Here is a 19,384-nt window from a genome sequence, read left to right as displayed (position 1 = left end):
TGCCCACGCAGCCTGGCGTGGCTCCCGGGGGCCCTGGCCTGCCTGCCCACTCGCTCACCACGCTCTGCGTGGCTGCCCCTCTGTGAGTGGAGGGTGTAGCTCTCTCAGGCTCTGTCTTTCCTGCTGACCTTGGTCCCTCCTCTCTAACCTTCCTCCTTCCCAGGAAGATTCTGCAAACCCCGTGGGAAGGGAAGTGGGCCCGGAGCACAGGAGAAAGGTTACTCGGGCCATTCCCCAGCCTCCCGTCTGGCCCCCGAGCCCTTTCTAAAGGCTTGGAGAGCAGGAAGGGGGTGCAGAGCCTCAATAGCAATGACTGGATCTTTGGGGTGAGGGGAGTTCAGATTTGGTGCCCCCCCAAGACTGCCCTCTGCAGCCTCCAGCAGCCTGTGCCCAGCTGGTGCTCCTGCCAGGAAGCTCTCTTTCGGCCCTCCCACGTGTGCCCTCGTGCCCTAAAGCTACAGGCACAGGGCCTGGGGAGGGATGGAGGGGGGATGGAGCCACCAGGAGCCACCTCACCTCTGCCCTTCCTCTGCAAGGCTAGCATTACTTCCTATCATTCATGATGGGAAAACTGAGACACAGAGAGAATCCATAATTTACCCGTCACAGTGAGTGGGTCGGAGAACCCATACGTGAGCCCCAGGCTGACCCTAAATTTGTGCCACCAGGAGACACCTCCCAGCTCCAGGAGAGGGCCCAGGTTGAGTGACTGCCCACTCACAGCGCCACGGGTGAGCAGAGGTACAGTGAAGGCCCTGGATCCGGGGCTGCCCTGGGCCCAGCGGGCATCCACCTCGCTGTGGACCTTGGCAAGTTCCTTCTGCCTACAGACCTCAGTCTCCTCACCACCCCCAAGGCCTCTGGCCAGGCCGTCCATCCCACCCAGCAGTTGAGCCTGTGCAGGAGGGAGGGGAGCTGTAGCCAGTCCCCCTCCCCCAGGCCACCCGGCCTCCTGGTGGGGATGCCTCCGCTCTGCTGACCGCACAAATGCCGGTCGCCCGCCCACGGGACTTGCCGCTTCCTGCTGCCCAGGCCCAGCTGGCTGGCAAGACAAGGTCGGTCACTGCTCTGCAGTCCCCTCCTGGCGTCCTTCCTGCACAGCCTTGTAGGCAGAGCAGGGAGCTGGGCCCAGGCAGCCTCGAGGTCTGGCCCCAGCCTGAGCAGAGGCTCTGAGCCCATGGGAGCCAGGAGGCCGGAGGCTGGACTTGGGCTGTGCTCCTGACTGCACAGTGGCCTCGGACACATCTCTCACCACAAAGCCTCGGTTTCTCCATCTGTAAAGTGGGATGGGCACCCCACTGCTCTCAACAAGAGATTAAGAGCTGGGTGGGGGAATTTTAGCCAGGGGGCTGCAGGAAGTGCTTCCAGCAGGGGGAGGAAGCTGGCTGGGGCTTCTGGATCTGGGAACAGACATGGCCCAACCTGGCCCTCTGTGGTCTCATTCCTGGCAAACATTCCGGGCTCCCAAGAGAAAATTTTTTTAGAAAGGGACAAACCTACAAAACAATCTTCCCATCCTGGCGCATTCGTGGCAGACCTGGGAAGATGCTGCCATGTCCCCTGCCTCCTGGAAGCCCTCCTCCAGTCCTGCCCCCAGACACGCTTGGCTGGGTGGGCTTGGACAAGGCATGGAAAAGCCGGGCTGTCCTGGGCGCCCCCTCACCATCTCATGGAGAGGGAGCGGCTGTGGGCAGGTCCCACAGCCAGAAGGCCTCCCCAGCCTCACCTTGCGCTACAGTCCCGGGGTGAGCCCAGTCCTGGCTGAGTGTCGGCAGAGCCTGGCAGAGTGCCAGTCCCACCTGGTGCTGAACCCACGTGGCCTTGACTCCTCCACAGGTCAGCCAGCCTCACTGCCCCATATGCCCCTCCAAGTGCAAAGGAGGCCCCAGGCAATCCTGTTAGCCCTGACCCCGAGTTGGTGTCAGCCCCAGATGCACCACCTTCACCCCAGAGGGACCCGCACAGCTCAAGATGCCAAGGCCCACCTTTCCCCTCCTCATCCCAGGCCCTGGCAGCTCCACCCCATAGCATTCCCAGGGCGGGGCAGGTTCTAGGGGCCTGCGGTGCCAGGAGCAGGCACAGGAGCTGGGGTGTACAAGGACCAGCCTCTGTGGGCCTGCGGCCGGGCACGGAGTCTAGGGCCTCGGTCATCCCACCTGGAAACTGGTACAGCCTGGCAGCCTGGAAGGGGAGCGCAGCCTCATAAGCCCAGCTGGCCACGACGCGGCTGGTGTCCGCAACGCCGTGTGGACTGTGCAGGCCTGGGAGGGGTGTCCCAGGACAGGCTCCAGCTTGGTGAGAAAACACGGAAGAGTCCATCCCAGGTTCACAGGGAGATAGGATGTGTGCCAGGCACTCTGTCACTGAGGCACCCTGTTACAGATCCATTTGACAGATGGGCATGCTGAGGTCCACAGAGGGGCCATGCCTTGGTGGAGGCTCACAGCCGGTACTGGGCACCTGAGCCTGGAATGCAGCTCAGGCCTGCGGGTCACCGCCCATGCTCTCTGCACAGCACGGCCCAGCATGGCCCCAGAGCAGGTGGACGAGGGCCTACCCCTGCCACTGTCCCCGGGCCCTTGAGAGCTGAGCCGAGTGGAGACCTCCTGGCATCCCCTAGGGCCCTGGTATCACCGGTCGCCCCTCATTGTCACCAGCTGACTCCACGCCTTGAACCCTCTTAGGGTATGAGGCCCACCCTGTAGGCAAGAGGTGGCAGAGGGGATCAGAAGCAGCCAGTGCCCCTATCAGAACCGCCCCTTAGAAGGGCCACCCTGGCAGTGCTGGGGTCACCCTGGGGTGATGGCGAGGGAGTGGCATGAGGGCCAGGAGTGGCCATGGGGAAGGAGAGTGCTCAGGAGGTGGAAGGGGGAGGCCCCAGGACCAGCCAGGCATGGAAGGTGCACACGGCCCACTTCTGGCCTGGAGAGGGAGGAGGGAGGAGGTACCTTCAGGGAGGAGGGGCTAAGGGCCAGGCAGCGCAACTGCCCAGTGCCCTGGCAGGGACCTGGGGCCTCGGCAGACTGTCTTGGGGCCAGGAGATGGCCCAGAAGTGTCCATCCCTGGGATTCTTAAACCTTGAAGCCCTGGGGTTCCACAGGAGGGACCACAGGGGCCATCAGCAAGTCAGGGGGGTGTGGGGAGAGAGGGCTCAGGTTACTTCCCGGCTCCCCAGCATCCCCTAGAACATCTCGGACTGAGCTGCTCCCCGCCCAGGCCTTGGGAGAGGCCATATTGGCCGGAAGGCCGGCCCAGCTGATATGAATTTGAGACCCACAGAACTGGCCCAAACCTGCCTTTTCTGGATGGGCCACTGGGCAATGCTGGGCAGGAGCCCAGGCCGTTGTCTTGGCTGATGGCCCCTGAGCCTGCCAGTGGGCACGGGCCTCCCCACCTGCCACACTCACCCCCTGCCCTGCCCCCAGCAGACCCACCCATCCCTGAGCCAGCCGAGGTCTCCTGCACCCCACCTGCCCGCCACCCTCCAACGGGGCCACCCCGGAGCCTTCTCACACCAAGGCAGGCCCAGGCGGGCAGAGAGCTGGCCAAGGCCGGGGGTGACCAGGGACCATCTCTTCAGGCTCCTGTCCCCCCCACGCCAGGCCCGAGCCGGGCACTGCAGCCCAGGTCACATGGCTGCAGTGTTGGCCGACAGTCTAGCTGAGATGGGGTGGGGCGTGCAGGGGAGACTCCTGATCCCTCCTGGCACCCAGGGTGGCATCCAGGAGGCGTCAGCGCCTGAGTGGGGCCCTGAGGATGAGTGGGTCCCTCTGCCTGCTGGGGGCAGGGGCGGGCCTGTGTAGTGTCTGGGCCAGGAGGAAGGTCAATGTGGACAGGGTCACAGGAGACTTCCAGAGAGCAAATGGGGGAGGGGCTGGTGGCCTCTGCTGAGATGTGGAAGGGGAGAAGCAGATGTGTGTCAATGTGTGCACAAATGCATGTGTGCATACGTGTGTGCCTGTGTGTGCCCGTGCATATGTGTGTGCATGTGTTCCTGTGTGCCTGTGAGTGTGCATATGTGAGCATGAACACACACATGCGGCACATTTGTACAAGGCCACGTGGCTGTGGGACAGCCTGGGCTTCGTGCTGTACTTGCTGGGATGTGAGGGCAGCGGGGACAGAGACGGGGCTGGGAGAGGAGGGTGTGCCCCAGAGGGTGCATTTAGCCAGAACCACACACAGTCACGGCCTTGGAGAAAGGGGTCCAGGCCTGAGCCAACAATGGCTCCACCCTGGGGCAGCTGCTGTGGTATCTGCACAGCTGTACCTCTGGCCTCGGCTCCCCTGGGCTGGCTCACCCTCCTCCCCTCGGCCACACCAGCTCCCAGGTCCCCTCGGTTGGGAGGATCCCCTGGGTTGGGAGGATCCCCTGGGAGCCCCGGGGGTTGGACCTGGCCCTGGTCCCTCAAAATCCATGCTCCGTGCTTCTCCGTCAGATGCCTTGATTTCCCCAGCAGGCTTTTCCAGCCTCATCCTCCAAAGGCGTGTTCCATGCAGCAGTCAGGGACCCTGAAGGTTGAGGCCGGGCTGACCCCTGAGCCCACCCCATGCCAGGCCTCCACTATGAGGACAGAAAGCTCCGGGCATCCCGGCAACAGGTGACAGGGTGGGAGAGGCTCATGGGTTGCCCCCATTGCTGGGGGACCAGTGTGGGCGCTGGCCACTCCTGTCTTTAAGTGTTACAGTTTAATGGCAAAACTGTCACCAACTCTCTTGCAGAGAAGTGGGCGATTGTCTTGGTCCCCGAACCACAGGCCACTTCTCTGGTCATTGGTTTCCATATCTCGACCTGGATAACAGCAGCTCCCGTTACCCACTGCCCCTCAGCTTCCCAAGGACAGTGACCAATTACCAGCAAAGCCCTCACAGGTTCCTGCCTTTCTCATCACCTTCTCCAGGGTCAAACTGCCCTTGTGGTCAGGAAGTTCTTTCTGGTGTCTAGCCCCCATCCCTTCTGCTGCAGAGGAGGCTGGCCAGCTTCTGCGAGGTGGCCTCAGGGAGGGCGGGGGGTGCCACTGGTCTCTGGGCAGAGGTGACAGGGTGAGGGCCTGGGCTGGCAGACAGGGGACCCAGAGAGGTGGGGCAGCAGGAGCTAGCCACGCTGGGCCGGGAAGCAGAGTTGGGAGCCACAGCGTGGGGAAGAGGGCACCAACGTTCACTACACACTGACCGCAGGCCAGCAACGGGCCTGAGATGATATACGAACCCCTCCTTCAATCTCACAGCTTCTGCATGAGGTGGGCAAGGCAGTAACCCCCATCACAGACACCCTCAGACGAGAGGCACTGCACCCGCCTCCCGCCGCCATCCTGGGCCTGTGCAGACTGCACACACGCACCCCACCCTGCCACCAGGCCTGGGTTCCAATCACACCCTGCACCTCGGTTTCCCCACCATCCAACCAGGGGCAGTGGATGCTGTCCAAGGCCCTTCTCTCAGGGGCACTGGGGCTCCTCCATGAGGCTCGGCACCCCATGCCCGCTCTGGGTCCAGTCCACACTGGACAGACCCGACCCTGGGCCCAGGCCTCCTGCGTCCCCTCCCCGCCCACCCTAGGCCACCAATGGCATCCCCAGACACCAGCCACAAAAGGCACTCTGTTGTCCTGCCGGCCCTCTGAACAGTGCCCGCCTGTGTGTCCTGAGAAAAGACTGCACGGGGGGAGGGGCGGGGTGGGCGCCCTCGGCACTGACTGCCCAGGGGGCTGGGAGGCAGACGGCTGGCCTTCCCCGCTCAGGGTGCCCACGGCCCCCATTCAAGCGGCCTGGTACCGGAAGCAGAGGCAGCACGGTCCCCCACCTGTGAGGTCCTGGCAGGGCCCCTGACATGGGCCCAGGACAACTTATTTGCGTGTCTCAGGGGTTCAGAGCCATAAGAAGTGGGCCAGAGAGTCAGGCACTAGCCAAGTCGAGGAGGGGGTGCCGAGATAGCCTCCCCCCGACAGGGTGACCCCCAGATGCCACCTGTCCTACCCCAGCTTGTGCCAACCACACCCCCACTGGTCAACCTGCAGGGTAGCTAGGCCTGCCCGTAGAGAGCCCAGGTCACGTGCCACCCACAGCAGAGGCAGGCCCGGAAGCCTCTCTTAAGGGTGGGCAGGGCTGCCAGCAGGGTCGGACCCCCTGGGGGTGCGCCCCCAAGGGTGTGGGAGCCCACCATGTTCACAGAGCCTGCCAGGCCCAGCCCCACCCAGCTGCCTGGGCACAGGGGTGCCCAAAGAATCTGGCCAGAGCTGCTGGCGGGGAGAGAAAGACCCTTCTTACAGAGACCACTGTGGGGCTGAGGCAGAAGGGGCCCTGTCCTGTGCCAAGCTCCGCTCTGGCCAGCCCCATGCTCTGCCCTGGCACACAGACCTTCATCTGACCCCCCACCTGCAGAAGGCAAGGTGATCACAGCCTGCAGTTCCCCAGACGTGGATACAGGCCCAGAGGGACCGACCGGCTCCTAGTGACTCCAGGGGAAGATAGGAGCTGTGTTACCCCTCATCTTACCCAACTGTCCCAGACCACCTTGGCCCAGCGTCAGAGGCCAGCTTTCCAACGGCCCTCAGGTTCCGGGCCTCACTGCATCTCCCGTAGTCTAGGGCTCATCACCCCAAGCCACCTGCAGGCCCTAAAGATGCTCCCCGTGCTGAAGCTCCTCTGTCCCCGCCCTGCTGCACTGAGGTTCCAGGCACACCCCGGGGCCGGTCTGAGGCCAGAGTGAGGAGGGCTACCTTGCCTAGAAGTTGCCCTCGAAGGCAGGGCTGCCCACCAGGCTGGTGAGCCCCTAGCAACAGTATGGGGACCTGAGGAGGAGGCTGCACTCAGCCTGGACTCCAAAGTGGCTGGTCTCCTGGCTCGAGGACCCCTGAGAGGAGGCTGTATCCCGGGAGCAGGCCCCAACCCAGGCCTCCACCCCACCACGGCGGGCAGGCCGCGGTGTTATGGTTATGTGGCAGTGGGGAGGAACAGCTGCAGCCAGGGCCCAGCATTTGGGAGGAGCGAGACCGAGGGAGAGAGTAGGTGTGTCCAGTAGGTGAGCAGCCTCGGTGCAAGGAGGGGCTAGAGGATGCATCTGTGGCCGTGTGTGCTGCACATATGTGTGCGTGTGTGCGTGTGGTGAGTGCAGGTGAAAGCTGTGCAGGTGTGAGTGGTGTGTGTGTGTGAGCGAGTGGGGAACAGAATGTGCGTGTTCCAGCTGAGTCGCACACGTGAGTGTGCACGTGGCATGTGTGCTTCGGGGGGGTGAGGAAGTGTGTGCACGTGCAGGGTGTGTGCATGCTCCTTTTGTGAGTTATTACAAGTGTGTGTGCACACTGTTCAAGGGCTGTGTGCACATGCGTGTGTGCAGGTGTATGTGAGCAAGTGTGTGCGCACAGAGTGAGTTGCCAGCATTGGGTCTGCACACGTCTTTCAGGTGTGCGAGGGGCAAGGCGGGTCTATGTGTGCATGTGGGCGCGCTGTGGTGGAGAGGAAGGCTTTCTGGAGGAGCTGCCCGTGAGATCTGGAATGGGCACAGGGACAGGCTCTCTGGGGCTGGGGAACAGGGAGGGGGTGCAGAGTGCAGGGGCCCTTCTCCTCCTCCCTGAATCGCATTCCTTTTCCCCGGGGCTCTGAAATCCCATTGAAATGCGTTCCTCTGGGGTGGCCATTACCCCCGAGCTGGAACTGGGGCCTCACCAAGACTTGCCTGGACAGCCCTACCCTCCCTGGCACTACACAGGCGCTACCCTGGACGCTCTGGCACTCTCCGGGACAGGCAGGTAGGGCCACCCACCCTCCTGTCACAGAGATGCCAACTTAGCCTCAGAGAGGTGCTGGCCCAAAGACCAACCGTGTGCCCCCAGGGCCCGGTGGTCGGGGGTGGGGTGTGGGCTTTGGAAGCCTCCTTCCCCGCCTTGCACCCAGGCCAGTGCCCAGCCAGCACCATCTTCTCAGCCTCCTGGCCGCTCCTCTGCGTTTCTTACTTCAAAGACCCCTCAACCACATGTCTCAGTCAAGAGTCAGCACCCCCAAAACTGGCCCACAGCTGAGTGAGGAGTGGGGGACAGGCACCAGGACACAGGTTCTGTCTCATCTCAAGGTCCACCCCAGTCTCTGAGCTCCCAGTAATCCCTGGGTCCTCCTGACCTCAGCTGTGCTGGGCCGGGACAGCCCAGTTGCCTGGTGGGCTGCAGGGGACCAGCCTGCCGCATGCTCCTCTCCCAGGAAGGCAAGTGGTTGGGGGCCTGACAGCGAAGCTGCAGAGAGGACTTCTGTCGTGCCCTTCCCCTGACCAAGCCCCAGAGAGGGATGCCCGAGAGAACAGAACGCCACAAGCAGGAGGACAGCCATGGGGGCGAGTGAAGGGGACAGGAGCCTAAGGTGGGGGCCAAGGTGACAGCGATCATGCTGAGGGAGGTGGCTGTGAGGGGTGTCCAGGTGCTGCTGAGGCGAGTGGGAGTGATGGGGGGAAGGTGTTTGTTGGCTTTGGTGTTGGGGATGGAGGTGGGGTCAGATAGGAATGATGGTGCAGTGTGGTGCCGGCGGCAGGGTGCGGCTGAGGTAGCCTCGGGGGCAATGGTGGTGGGGGTGATGGGGTGGGGTGAGATGGTAGGGGGGCAGTGAGGGTGCTGGTGTCAAATATGAGGGTGCTGCGGCTGGCGATGAGCAGGACAGGGGACAGAAGGGGTGGGTGTGTGCATGTTTGTGTTTGTGAAACCCATGCAGGGAAGGAGGGAGGAGGGGCAGAGGTCTCCACCGGTCCCTCCAGGCAGGGTAGCCCCGAACAAGAGCCTGTAACGGGGTAGCAGAAGGCAAGAGGACCAGGGCTCTGTGGAGGAAGGAGGCTAGTCCTTTGGTACTGATCCTATTTTTTGTTGCTTCCTCAATTAACAGAAATGAGTTAGTATGAAAAAAGAAGAGAGGGAGGGTGGGGCAGGAGTGGAGACGTCCGGAGCCGCCTCCTCAGTGGCATGTGCTTTGCGGGGGAAGGGGGATCCTCACCTTAACCCCGAGGAGTGGAGCACAGATGAGGAAAGGAGGCGCTGGGGCCTGATGAAGGTCACAGAGCAGAACGCAGGGCCAGCACCCCCTGGGTCCCACTGCCAGTCTCTGCCTGCGGGGGCCTCCCTGCCCCATCCCTGGACATGAACATCCAGGCTGTGTCTTCTGGATCGTGCGGTCTGTAGGTCTGAACCTCCGCTCCTTCCCCTCTGCGTGTGTAGACAGGCACACATCGCGGGGCGGGGGTGCCGTGTGCACCCGTGTGCACCTCACGGTGTGCTCGTGCTGACCCATGTCCTCGTGAGCCCACAATGGGACACAGGTTTTCGGGCCGTGGCACCCTGGTGTTCCGTGTTTCTTGCCTTTGTGGGGACACGCGTGCCTGCTCTGGGTGTCTGCCTGCACCTCACACCGGGGTGTGTGTTGGTTTTGGGTGGCGTCGGGGCTGGCTGCCGCCCGCCCACTGTGATGAATGTGGCCTGCGTCTTGTGCAGTGCAGCTGTGGGCGTGGCAGCGGCACTCAACAGGCTGTGCACTCAGCCTCCTGACGCGCCCTATGACCTGGCGGCCCATGGGGCGCCCCATCTCTTTGGCATCCCCATCAGGCCAAGCCACCAACCCTGTTCGAGACCCTCCTATGGCTCCTGACAGCAGCTCCCAGAACATGGGCCAAGACCTTCAGGGCTCAGGTCTGGTCCGGACCCCTCTGCAGCCCCTGTCCTGCCTCCCACCTTCCTCTCCAGCTCTGGTCTATTTCTCACACCCGCACAATGCCCTGCCCCAGGGCCTTTGCACTGCCGGCTCTTCCTTCTGCCCGGACCTCTGACCCCTTCATCACCCACCCACCTGCCCTTCCGTGGGACACCTCCTGGGTAAGCCCCACTTCTAGGCCTCTGTAGGTTGCCTTCTTGCACTCCCCAGAGCCTCCTTGGCAGAGCTGGTCAGGGGCTTTTTCCTGCATATTCCCGCAGCCTTAGTGCTTGGGGTGGGGGATTGCACAGGACCACGCCCTCCCCCTTGCCCCCTGCCCCCTGCCCTGCTCCCAGTTCGAGGGTGTTCACATGGGCACCCACGCGTCTAGTGAGTGCCACTTCCTCTGTGTGCACGCCGGCTGTCTACAGGGGGATCCCAGGCCTGTGCGTGTTTACCCAGAAGTCACAGCTCTGCCGATGGCGCAGCTGCAGCCAGGGAGGCCGGAGGCTTCCAGAGGACAAAGGGAGGGCGTGGGCTCGCGGGCCCGGAGGGGTTAACAATACCCTCCTGGTTCGGGGTCTTTGCTGAGGGTCAGGTGTTGGAGTTTTCCTCCCAGGGGTCCATCCCGTGCACACAGAGCAGACCCGGGGGCAGCCCAGAGCCAGAGCCGACGGTAAAACGGGGTTTGACTAAATCCTGCCATCCGGGGCCACACCGGCGCGAGACCCGCCCCCGTCACGCACACACATGTGCAAGTCTGCATGCCTGCACACACGTGCCCCCAGCCTCCCGGACGGGCACGCACGTGCATGCGCGCCACACATGGACACCAGCACGCAAACGCGCGCTCACGCCAGCGCACCGCACACGGGGACCGGGCCGGGCCGGCGAGGGGGGCTCCGGCCGAGACGCGAGGCGCGTCACGGGACCCGGCGGCGGGAGCGGACGGCGAGCGAGCGAGCGAGCGGGCGGGCGGGCGGGCGGGAGGGAGGTGGCGGCCGGGGCTGCCCAAGATGGGGCCGGAGCCGCGGGCCAGGCGCGGAGGAGACGGAAGGGGCGGGCAGGGCCGCGCGGGCGCGGTGCGGGCGCCCTCTCCCGGCAGTCAGCGGCAGCGCGCCGGCCCTCCGCCTTCCGCCACTGCGGCCCCGCGCCGGCCGCCTGGGCCTGGAGCCCCGCGGCGTCCCCGGAGGACGGGCTCCGCGCCCCACGACCCACTCCCGGAGGCGGGGTCGGGCCGACCGGGGGCGGAGGACGCCGCAGGAGGCTGCTCGGACCCCGGGCGCTTGCTAGGCCCTCCCTGGGGCCCTTCATGCCAGGCCCCGCGGCTGTGTCCGCAAGCGCAGATGGTCTCGGGACTCGGGCCACCCTGACGCCGCAGACCCAGCACGCTGCGGACCGGGCACGTTGGATCTCGGGACAAGTGCGGAGGGTCGGGGGCTGGAAGGGATCCGAGAGCAGAGCCCGCGTCCCCATTTCACGGACGCGGCCACCGAGGTCCGAGAGGGGCCGGAGCCTGCGGGAGAGGGAAGGGCCTCCGAGGGCTCCACAACTTGGCTGCGCCCCCTCCCTAGCCCGGGATCCGGATGAGTGCTGCCTGAGGCCGAGGCGACGAATCGCCCTCTATCCGCCCCTGCGCGGGACCCCGGCAGGAACAAGCGCCCGTCCCTGGGATCGGAGGCGGCAAACCCCAGGCTCGAGCCCCCCAGCGCAGCGCCCACCCGCGGAGCCGCGCGCCTCTCTGGCGCATCCCTGGGCTTCGCGGCTCGGCCCTCAGCCGCCGGGTCTCCCGGGCCAGCCTTCTGCCCCCCAGATCGAGGCGCAACAAGTCTGAAAGCAGCGCCAAGGAGCAGCTAGCGAGCCGAAGGGAGGGCGTGGGGCGCCGGGCGCTCCGGGATCCCCGAACGCGCGCAACGTCCGCCTCCGGGGACCGGGCGCGGGCGGCAGGCGAGCGGGACTGACTCGGCGGGCTGCGCACACCCCCTTCCAAGGCCCCGACTGTGCGCGGACGGGGGCGCGCCCAGGAACCCCCGCCCCCTCCTTCGCCTGCTTGACCTTGCTGGGTACTCAAAGCCGGACTCGGCGGCACCCCGGCGTGCGGGCGCAGAGTTTCGCTGCCGCCCACGGGAGGGAGCGGCTCGACCTCCCTCGTTGCCTCCTCGGCAGCCGGGGTCGCAGACGAGTGGAAGGCATGAGGGTTCTAGGAGACGTGACAGTCGCCTCCCCAGACCCCACACACCGTATACCACCTCCCTCCCAGATAGAAAAGGGACCCAGCTCCCCTTTCCCCCGCCTCCGCCCGCGCGGCCTCTGCTGTTCCCCCGCGGCGGCTCTCGCTCCGAGGGGGCGTGTGTTTGTGTCTGTGGGGAGAGTACCGAGGGTCTCCGTGGGTTCCCAGGATGGAGCGGGAGAGCAGACCTCCCAGCTCCCTCCCCAACACAAACGACAAGCGGCTCCTCTGGGGCGGGAGTGCAGGCCCCCTACCCGCCCACACGCCTTCCTGCCTTTCAACTACTCCGGAGTTGCAGCCCAGGAATCTGCGCCCCAGACCCGGAGGAAGAACGGGGAGGTCGCGGCGGGGACGGGTGCTGAAAGAGGGCTGGCTTAGGGCTCTTCGGGTCCCAGCCTAGGCGCCTGCGCTCCAAGAAACTTAGAAGCCCAAAATAAAAGTGGAAAGGGGTAAGGTGCCCAGCGGCCTGGGGCTGGGGTGCCAGATTAGGCGTTCTCTTCAGGCTGCCGGGGAGTGGCCAAGCAGGAGCCGCCGCGGCCAGGAGGAGGGACGCGGGCTCGGAGCCGCAGCCTCCGTCAAGCCCTCCCGGTCGCATCGCTTCGCGGTGATTCTCAGCTCCGCCGCCCCCTCCCGAGGCCGGAGGAGCTCTCTACCTCGCCCAGGGGGCCGCGGGGACCTAGGGAGAGGGCTCCTGGCCGGGTCCAGAGCTCCCAGCCTCCCCAGGAGGGGGCGGGGGCCGTGCTCGTTCCTCGAGGCAGCTCCGCGCGGCTCCAAGCTAGCGCGGCGACGGTGGAGGGCCGGCGGCCTCTGCTCACCGGCGACGCGGACCCGGGAGTGCTCGGCGCCCGGGAGTGCTCGGCGCTTGGAGCGGAGACGGCATAGGGCCGGCCCAAAGTTGAGAGCGGCTTATCCGCGCGGCCTGTCCGACCCAGTGGAAAGGTAGACAAGGAGGGAAGAGCCAGGCGTTCGCGTGGGGGTGGGGGGCGCAAAAATAGCCCTCCGCCCGAAGTGGGGGAGAGTACCTCCAGGGAGTCTCCACTGCCAATGCCAGGTCTACAGGCGAGGGCTTCTACGAGCGAGGGCTTCGAGAAGGAGTCTGGGGTTTTCTCCTGCCTGCCCCGAGCTCTGTGCGTGGGGGGAGGACGTCTCGGGCCCTTACAATGTCTGTAGGGGGCCCTGGACGTGATTAGCAGGAGGGGGACACGCTCGGGGGCTCTCCGGAGCCTGCTGCGTCTATGTGTGGCTGTTGGGGGCCATGGGGGGCTCCCTTAGACCCCCGCCAGCGTCTGTGTGTGCTGGGGGTACAGCGGGAACGCCCTCCCCAGCCTGCCCTGTGCATGTGATGAAGAGGGGTGCCAGGCTGTGGTGTGTGGATGGGGAGGAGGCGGCGGCGCCGAGGAGCCTCTCCTGCGTCCAGGGTCGCCCCCTCCTCAGCCTGCCCAATGCGGGCTCGCGGGGACCTGCCACATTCCATCGCCACCGCTGGAGAAGGCAGGGGGCTGAGGGGGTAGGGGGTGGGGGTCCAAACTCCTGAGCTCTGAGCGCAAAACCTCGGAGCTGCGAAGCCCCAAACGGCGAAGTTAGGAAGTCTGGGCGCCCGCCCCTCCCCCGACCCCCTCCCACCCTCGCTGCGCCCCCACCCGCCGCGCCCCCAGCCCCCCGCCGGAGCCTTCCTTACCTTCCCCAGCAGCAGCGGCCCCGCCGGCGAGGACTCGATCCGGCGAGTTGCAAATCCCCGCGAGCGCCTCGCGTCGCCGGCGGCTGAGCCGGGCGCCCGACCGGAGGTGGGGGGGGCTCCTCCAGCCGCCGCCGCCCCCGGCCCGCTCTGGGCCTCGCCGGGACGCCCCCTGGAGAGCACCCGCCGGCGCACGCAGGCCCCCTCCCGTTCCCCCGCGCCTGCTGGAGCCCCCCGGGCGCCCGGAGGGTCCGGATGCCCGCGCTGCGGACGATGCTGGCGCGCGGGCCCGGGCCGGGCCAGGACGCGGCGCGGCCGCCTGTGCTCCCGGCTCTCCGGCTCCGCGCTCGCTCCGCCGGGGCCGCCGCCAACGCCGCGCCCGCCGCCGCCGCCTGCGCCCGCCGCTCCCTCTCCGGCCGCCGCCGCCGCTCCGCTCCTCTCGCCTGCCCGGCTCTTCTCGCCTTTTTTCCCCTTCCTGGCGAGGGGGGGGGGGGGGCGAGCCAAGCCGAGCCGGGGGCGGGGCGGCGCGGGGAGGAGGAGGAGGCCGAGGACGAGGAGAAGGAGGAGGAGAGAGGCGAGAGCTGCTTCCCCCCACCCGGCTGCCGGCGCTCCCCAATCTCTCGCTCTCTGAAACTGGATCCCGAATCGGGAGCCAGAGACTGCATTACGGATTACATCAGGCTTTATAGAGCTTCCAGATCACACATTAGAGGGGGAGCGCTAGCGGGGGGCGGGGGTGTGGGGGGAGGGGAGCGAGATAAGGGGGGGCGGATAAAATGCACACACGCGCGCACACCTAGGAGAGCCCGGTGCCTGCCCCGCGCAGCAGAGAAGCCAAGAGTTGGGTTCCTGCTCTCGGCCTTCTCCAGGAGCAGGGGAGTGGCCCCACTGGCTGGCTGGATGATGGATGGTGGACGGCAGGACGGACACACAGATGAATGGAGGGAAGGAAGTGAGGGGTTGTGCCTAGGCAATGCAGGTGCGTGGGTGGATGGACGGTGGACGGATGGATGAGTTGGTGGGTGTAGATGGAAGTGGGGTGGACGGATGGATGGACGGATGACTGGAGAGCTGGCGGGAGGACGATGGGGATTGAGGGAAGAGATGGGTGAGGATGGATTGAGGGAAGAGATGGGTGAGGATGGACGGGATAGGTGGGTAAGTGGATGGGCAGCACCCAGTGGAGGTCTGCTTGGCTGAAGGCTGTGCAGGTGCAAGGACCAGGCATGGATGGGGGTGAGAGCGGGCTGAGTGGGGGATGGGCAGGAGAGAGAGTGGAGGCATAGACTCCTGACCCCATCCAAGAGGGTCAGAGAGTGGGGGCTGGGCGGGGACTGGGTAGGGCCAGTTGAACTGCTCGGGGGGGCTTGTCCAGTTCTTCCTCATGGACCCTGTGCTGAGAGATGTTGAGGGGAGTGGCTGGGGAAAGAGCCAGGAGATGGATTTGAAGGTGAGGTCGAACCCACCACTGACCCTGGGTGGCTGTCCCCAGGCACTTCCTCCCATTGTCACCATCCGCCCTCCTTTGACTTGATGACATGGGGGACCTCCCAGCCCCATATTCAGGTTTCGTTCTTCATCAGCTGATGGAGATGGCCGCTTCGGCTGCCTTGGATCATCCACGGCCCCTCTTCTGCTTCCAGGACCGCTGGACAGGTACCCAGAGGGAGCCTTCCCAGAAGGAAGGACCTTGGAGAAGTGACTGCGGGATCCTTCTCCACCAAGATGCTTCTGCCTCAACCCTTTTCTCCTAGCTCTCAACGTGTGGTCCACTCTGAGTGCAAGTCCCCTTGTGTGGATGTCCAGCACTCTGCACACTGAAGCATCTCAGCAGGTCACGCTGCTGCTGCTTCCCAGGCCCACCGTCGGCCTGGCTGCTTCTGTCAGCCCATCAGCCAGTCTCCACTGGGTACCACCACTGCCACCACCAACACGAATTCACAAGGACCACCACCACCCCTACCTGAATGTCAGCACCCACCCCACCCTGTCCTCCCATGGCCCTCAACGGCAGTCACCACCGTCAACACAGGTCACCAGGAGACGAGGGAACTCAAGCCCACCGAGCCCCTGGGCATGGCGCACAGCTCGCCGGACACTGTTGTGTCCATATCAGTCCCCTCCTCAAGGCTGATCTGTGGCCAAGGCTCCTAGGGGTGTCCACAGGGACTGTGAGAAGTTGCCCAGAGACACAGGCCACAGGGCAGCCAGGAAAGGGCGGGGGCAGTCCGCTTCCCGGTCCAACCTCTTGGGCAGTGTCACACCTCCTTCCTCCTGGGGGAAAGGCCTTCTTCTCCAAGGCTTTGACAGGATTGTTGACAAAAGGGCAGGGTGCCCGGGCTGCCTCTGAGGATCCCCTGCGGAGCGGCACCCCCTCCTCCCAGTCCTGGCGGCGATGCCCTGCCGTCTCCTCGCTGCACCAGCAGTCATGGCCACCAGGGGGCGGCTGATGTCAGGCCAGGAGGCCAGCAGCTCTGAGTCAGGACTCAGCCTTCCTCCTTGGAGCCCGGAGGGTGGCAGCGATCCCGGTGCCTCCACTGGGGAATCCAGCCCCAGGTTCTCAGGGCTGGGGCCTTCTCCAATGCGGCCATCCAGGGTGATGCGGTCTCCCGTCTGGGCCCAGCTTCTCGGCAGGGCCTTTCCTCTCCCAGCATGGGGCCTTCTCTGCTTCCCTCCCCAACTCGCCCCTTTTAGAAAATCGCCCTCTCAGCCCAGCTCCTGATCCAGGAATCAGAGGGTTCCACCTCCCACCCCCGGCCCAGCCCTCAGCCCCTCCCCAGGGAGGGAGAAGGTCAGGCGTAAGGAGTTCTGCCCACCGAGACCAGCTCCCAGCAGGGCGCCCGGAAGCAGTCCCGCTCACCCCACCTCAGCCCCGTCTCCCTGTTGGCACGTGTGTGTCTGAATGGCTTTGAAGGTATCTTCCAGCCTAGACACTCCGGGATTCTAGAACCTAAACCGGCGACTGGCTTTCAGGAGGCTTGCCTCAGTGTGCACCCTGAACTCCCTTCCCCTCACCTGCTCACCCCCCTCCCTGCCTGCCACTGCATGTCTCACGCCCAGATCGGCTTCCTTTCAGGGTCCTGTCCACAGCCTGAAGAACCCAGGGTGGGCCCAGCACTGGGAGGCTGGAATTGACGGTCCCTGCTGGGGACCACACCCAGCTGGATGCTGGGCCCTAGAACCTCCTCGCGCAGCCCAGAGGGATTGTAACCCATGGTATCTTCTCAGTGTTCTCCATAGCCACAAAATGATCCCTGGCCACAGCCACTCAGCTGTGACCCTGCCCCCGACATTGGAATCAATGACCACTGACCTTGGTCACACGCTGAACCTTGATCCTGGTCACACACTGAGCTTGGTCACATGCTGAACCCTGATCCTGGTCACACACTGAGTTTGGTCACACGCTGAGCCCTGATCCTGGTCACACACTGAGTTTGGTCACACGCTGAACCCTGATCCTGGTCACACACTGAGCTTGGTCACACGCTGAACCCTGATCCTGGTCGTACACTGAGCTTAGTCACATGCTGAACCCTGATCCTGGTCACACACTGAGCTTGGTCACACGCTGAGCCCTGATCCTGGTCACACACTGAGCTTAGTCACATGCTGAGCCCTGATCCTGGTCGTACACTGAGCTTGGTCACACGCTGAGCCTTGATCCTGGTCACACACTGAGCTTGGTCACACGCTGAGCCCTGATCCTGGTCACACACTGAGCTTAGTCACATGCTGAGCCCTGATCCTGGTCGTACACTGAGCTTGGTCACACGCTGAACCCTGATCCTGGTCACACACTGAGCTGGGTCACACGCTGAGCCCTGATCCTGGTCACACACTGAGCTTGGTCACATGCTGAGCCCTGATCCTTGTCATACACTGAGTTTGGTGACATGCTGAGCCCTGATCCTGGTCACACACTGAGCTCTGGTCACACGCTGAACCCTGATCCTGGTCACACACTGAACTCAGTCACATGCTGAGCCCTGATCCTGGTCACACACTGAGCTTAGTCACATGCTGAGCCCTGATCCTGGTCGTACACTGAGCTTGGTCACATACTGAGCCCTGATCCTGGTCACACACTGAGCTTAGTCACATGCTGAGCCCTGATCCTGGTCATACACTGAGCTTGGTGACATGCTGAGCCCTGATCCTGGTCGTACACTGAGCTTGGTCACACGCTGAGCCCTGATCCTGCTCACACACTGAGCTTGGTCACATACTGAGCCCTGATCCTGGTCACACACTGAGCTTGGTCACATGCTGAGCCCTGATCCTGGTCATACACTGAGCTTGGTGACATGCTGAGCCCTGATCCTGGTCGTACACTGAGCTTGGTCACATGCTGAGCCCTGATCCTGGTCACACACTGAGCTCTGGTCACACGCTGAGCCCTGATCCTGGTCGTATACTGAGCCTGGTCACACGCCGAGCCCTGATCCTGGTCGTACACTGAGCTTGGTCACACGCTGAGCCCTGATCCTGGTCACACACTGAGCTCTGGCCACACACGAGCTTCCATCCTGGTACAGAGTGAGCCCTGATCCCATGGCCGCTTTACACATCCAGAGCTTTGGTCCCAAGGCTAAGTGTAGACTAAGGCGTCCCTGATTGATGGGAAACAGAAAGGGGGGTATGAGGCCTCAGAGTGGAGCAGCAGGAAGTGTGCCTCAAAGTCCTGTATGTCCAGCCATTTTCACATAGGACTGTCCCATCCTCAGGGAGGGGGGTGTTTGTTTGAGGCCACAGGGCAGCCAGGGCAGTCTACAACCCAGCTCCGTGACTCCCGTTTCATGGTCCCCCAGAGCTGTCTGCAGGGACCCCCAGGGCAGAATGAGGGCACTTTGTATCAGCCAGTGCTTCCTAGGGCTGAGGTCGCATGGGGGCGCAGGAGGAAGGGGACCCCTGGTCCTCTCGAGGTACTCAATGGACTTTGCCAGCCACAGGCTGAAGGGCCTCTGTGTGGGGGTGACCAGAATGGCGAGTACTTAGGGGATTCACATGCAGAGGAGTTAACTGTGGACGCAGCAAGTCTAGGTTAGCCTCCCAGTCAGGACCCTTGGAGCCCCTGCCTACCGCCATACAGGACCCGAGGCCTTGCCCTTGCCCAGCCTGTCCTGGTGCATCCTGGCCCCCCTCCCACCCCCAGCTCAGCCTGAAGGTGCCCCAAACTGTGCAGATGTTGAGGAAGGATGGGAAAAGAAGAGACTGTCAGAGAGCAAGTGATAGTGAGGGCAGAAGCTCCTGTTAACAAGGTTCTAACAGTGTGGTGCACCCGGCCTCCTTTTCCAGGAAGCCTTCCCTGGTCTTCTGGTTGGCAGGCATGGCCCCTTCCTGTGTCCCAGGCACATTGCAGGTCCTCTGTCTCAGCACACCCATCAGCCAGCAAAGGCAAACATGGCCAGGACCCTCCCTAGTTCCTCTGCCCAGAGGCCCCATCTGCTGCCTGGATTCAGAGGAGGAAAGCAGCCAGTCCCTCCACCCAGGGCTCTGCATCCCAAGATGGGGGACAGAGACAAGGCACAACCTGGCTCCCGGGCAGATGCACAGCCAGCTTCAATTCTGTGACATTCTGCAGTCCCTCTGTGGCTCTCAGCCTGCACCCAGGCCAGGCAGCGTGGGGACCCATGGAGGTGACTCTGGCGTGCTCTGCTCTCCAGCCATCCCAGTTCAGGGCCTGAGTCATGGGGAGGAGTTGCGAGGAGGTGGCCTCCTGGCTGCCACCAACCCAGGTTTCCAGGAAGACAGAGAGGACCCAGGGAGGCTGCCTTTCCCTTCCCCCATCCCCCATCCCCTTCCTCTCTTCCTCCCTGG

The 19,384-nt window shown here is 64.3% G+C and overlaps 1 protein-coding gene across 17 annotated transcripts in view, besides 5 other annotated features; it reads right to left on the bottom strand.

Moving 5' to 3' along the window:
• Positions 1–14,023, bottom strand: part of ADGRB1 (adhesion G protein-coupled receptor B1) — a 95,359-nt gene extending 81,336 nt beyond the window's left edge. For all 17 annotated transcript variants that reach the window (XM_017013695.2, XM_047422057.1, XM_017013691.2 and 14 more), the window contains exon 1: positions 13,568–14,023. The gene's annotated coding sequence lies outside the window, so the exon portion shown is untranslated. The remainder of the gene's footprint in view (positions 1–13,567) is intronic.
• Positions 8,645–9,576: an enhancer, noted in NCBI's record as "H3K27ac-H3K4me1 hESC enhancer chr8:143535457-143536388 (GRCh37/hg19 assembly coordinates)". NCBI's record gives its function as "activates a minimal SCP1, AML or CMV promoter by ChIP-STARR-seq in primed H9 embryonic stem cells {active_cell/tissue: H9 hESC(primed)}" and the evidence as "EXISTENCE:reporter gene assay evidence [ECO:0000049][PMID:30033119]".
• Positions 9,577–10,508: an enhancer, noted in NCBI's record as "H3K27ac-H3K4me1 hESC enhancer chr8:143534525-143535456 (GRCh37/hg19 assembly coordinates)". NCBI's record gives its function as "activates a minimal SCP1, AML or CMV promoter by ChIP-STARR-seq in naive and primed H9 embryonic stem cells {active_cell/tissue: H9 hESC(naive and primed)}" and the evidence as "EXISTENCE:reporter gene assay evidence [ECO:0000049][PMID:30033119]".
• Positions 9,821–10,080: an enhancer, noted in NCBI's record as "active region_28063". NCBI's record gives its function as "activates an Ori minimal core promoter by ATAC-STARR-seq in GM12878 lymphoblastoid cells {active_cell/tissue: GM12878}" and the evidence as "EXISTENCE:reporter gene assay evidence [ECO:0000049][PMID:35858748]".
• Positions 10,611–10,850: a silencer, noted in NCBI's record as "silent region_19598". NCBI's record gives its function as "represses an Ori minimal core promoter by ATAC-STARR-seq in GM12878 lymphoblastoid cells {active_cell/tissue: GM12878}" and the evidence as "EXISTENCE:reporter gene assay evidence [ECO:0000049][PMID:35858748]".
• Positions 10,951–11,040: a silencer, noted in NCBI's record as "silent region_19597". NCBI's record gives its function as "represses an Ori minimal core promoter by ATAC-STARR-seq in GM12878 lymphoblastoid cells {active_cell/tissue: GM12878}" and the evidence as "EXISTENCE:reporter gene assay evidence [ECO:0000049][PMID:35858748]".
• Positions 14,024–19,384: the final 5,361 nt, after the last annotated feature.

The sequence above is a fragment of the Homo sapiens genome, chromosome 8 (assembly GCF_000001405.40).
Source record: "Homo sapiens chromosome 8, GRCh38.p14 Primary Assembly".
NCBI lineage: Eukaryota > Metazoa > Chordata > Mammalia > Primates > Hominidae > Homo > Homo sapiens.
Note: the sequence above shows the minus strand (reverse complement) of the source record. Positions and strands in the feature narration are given on the sequence as shown.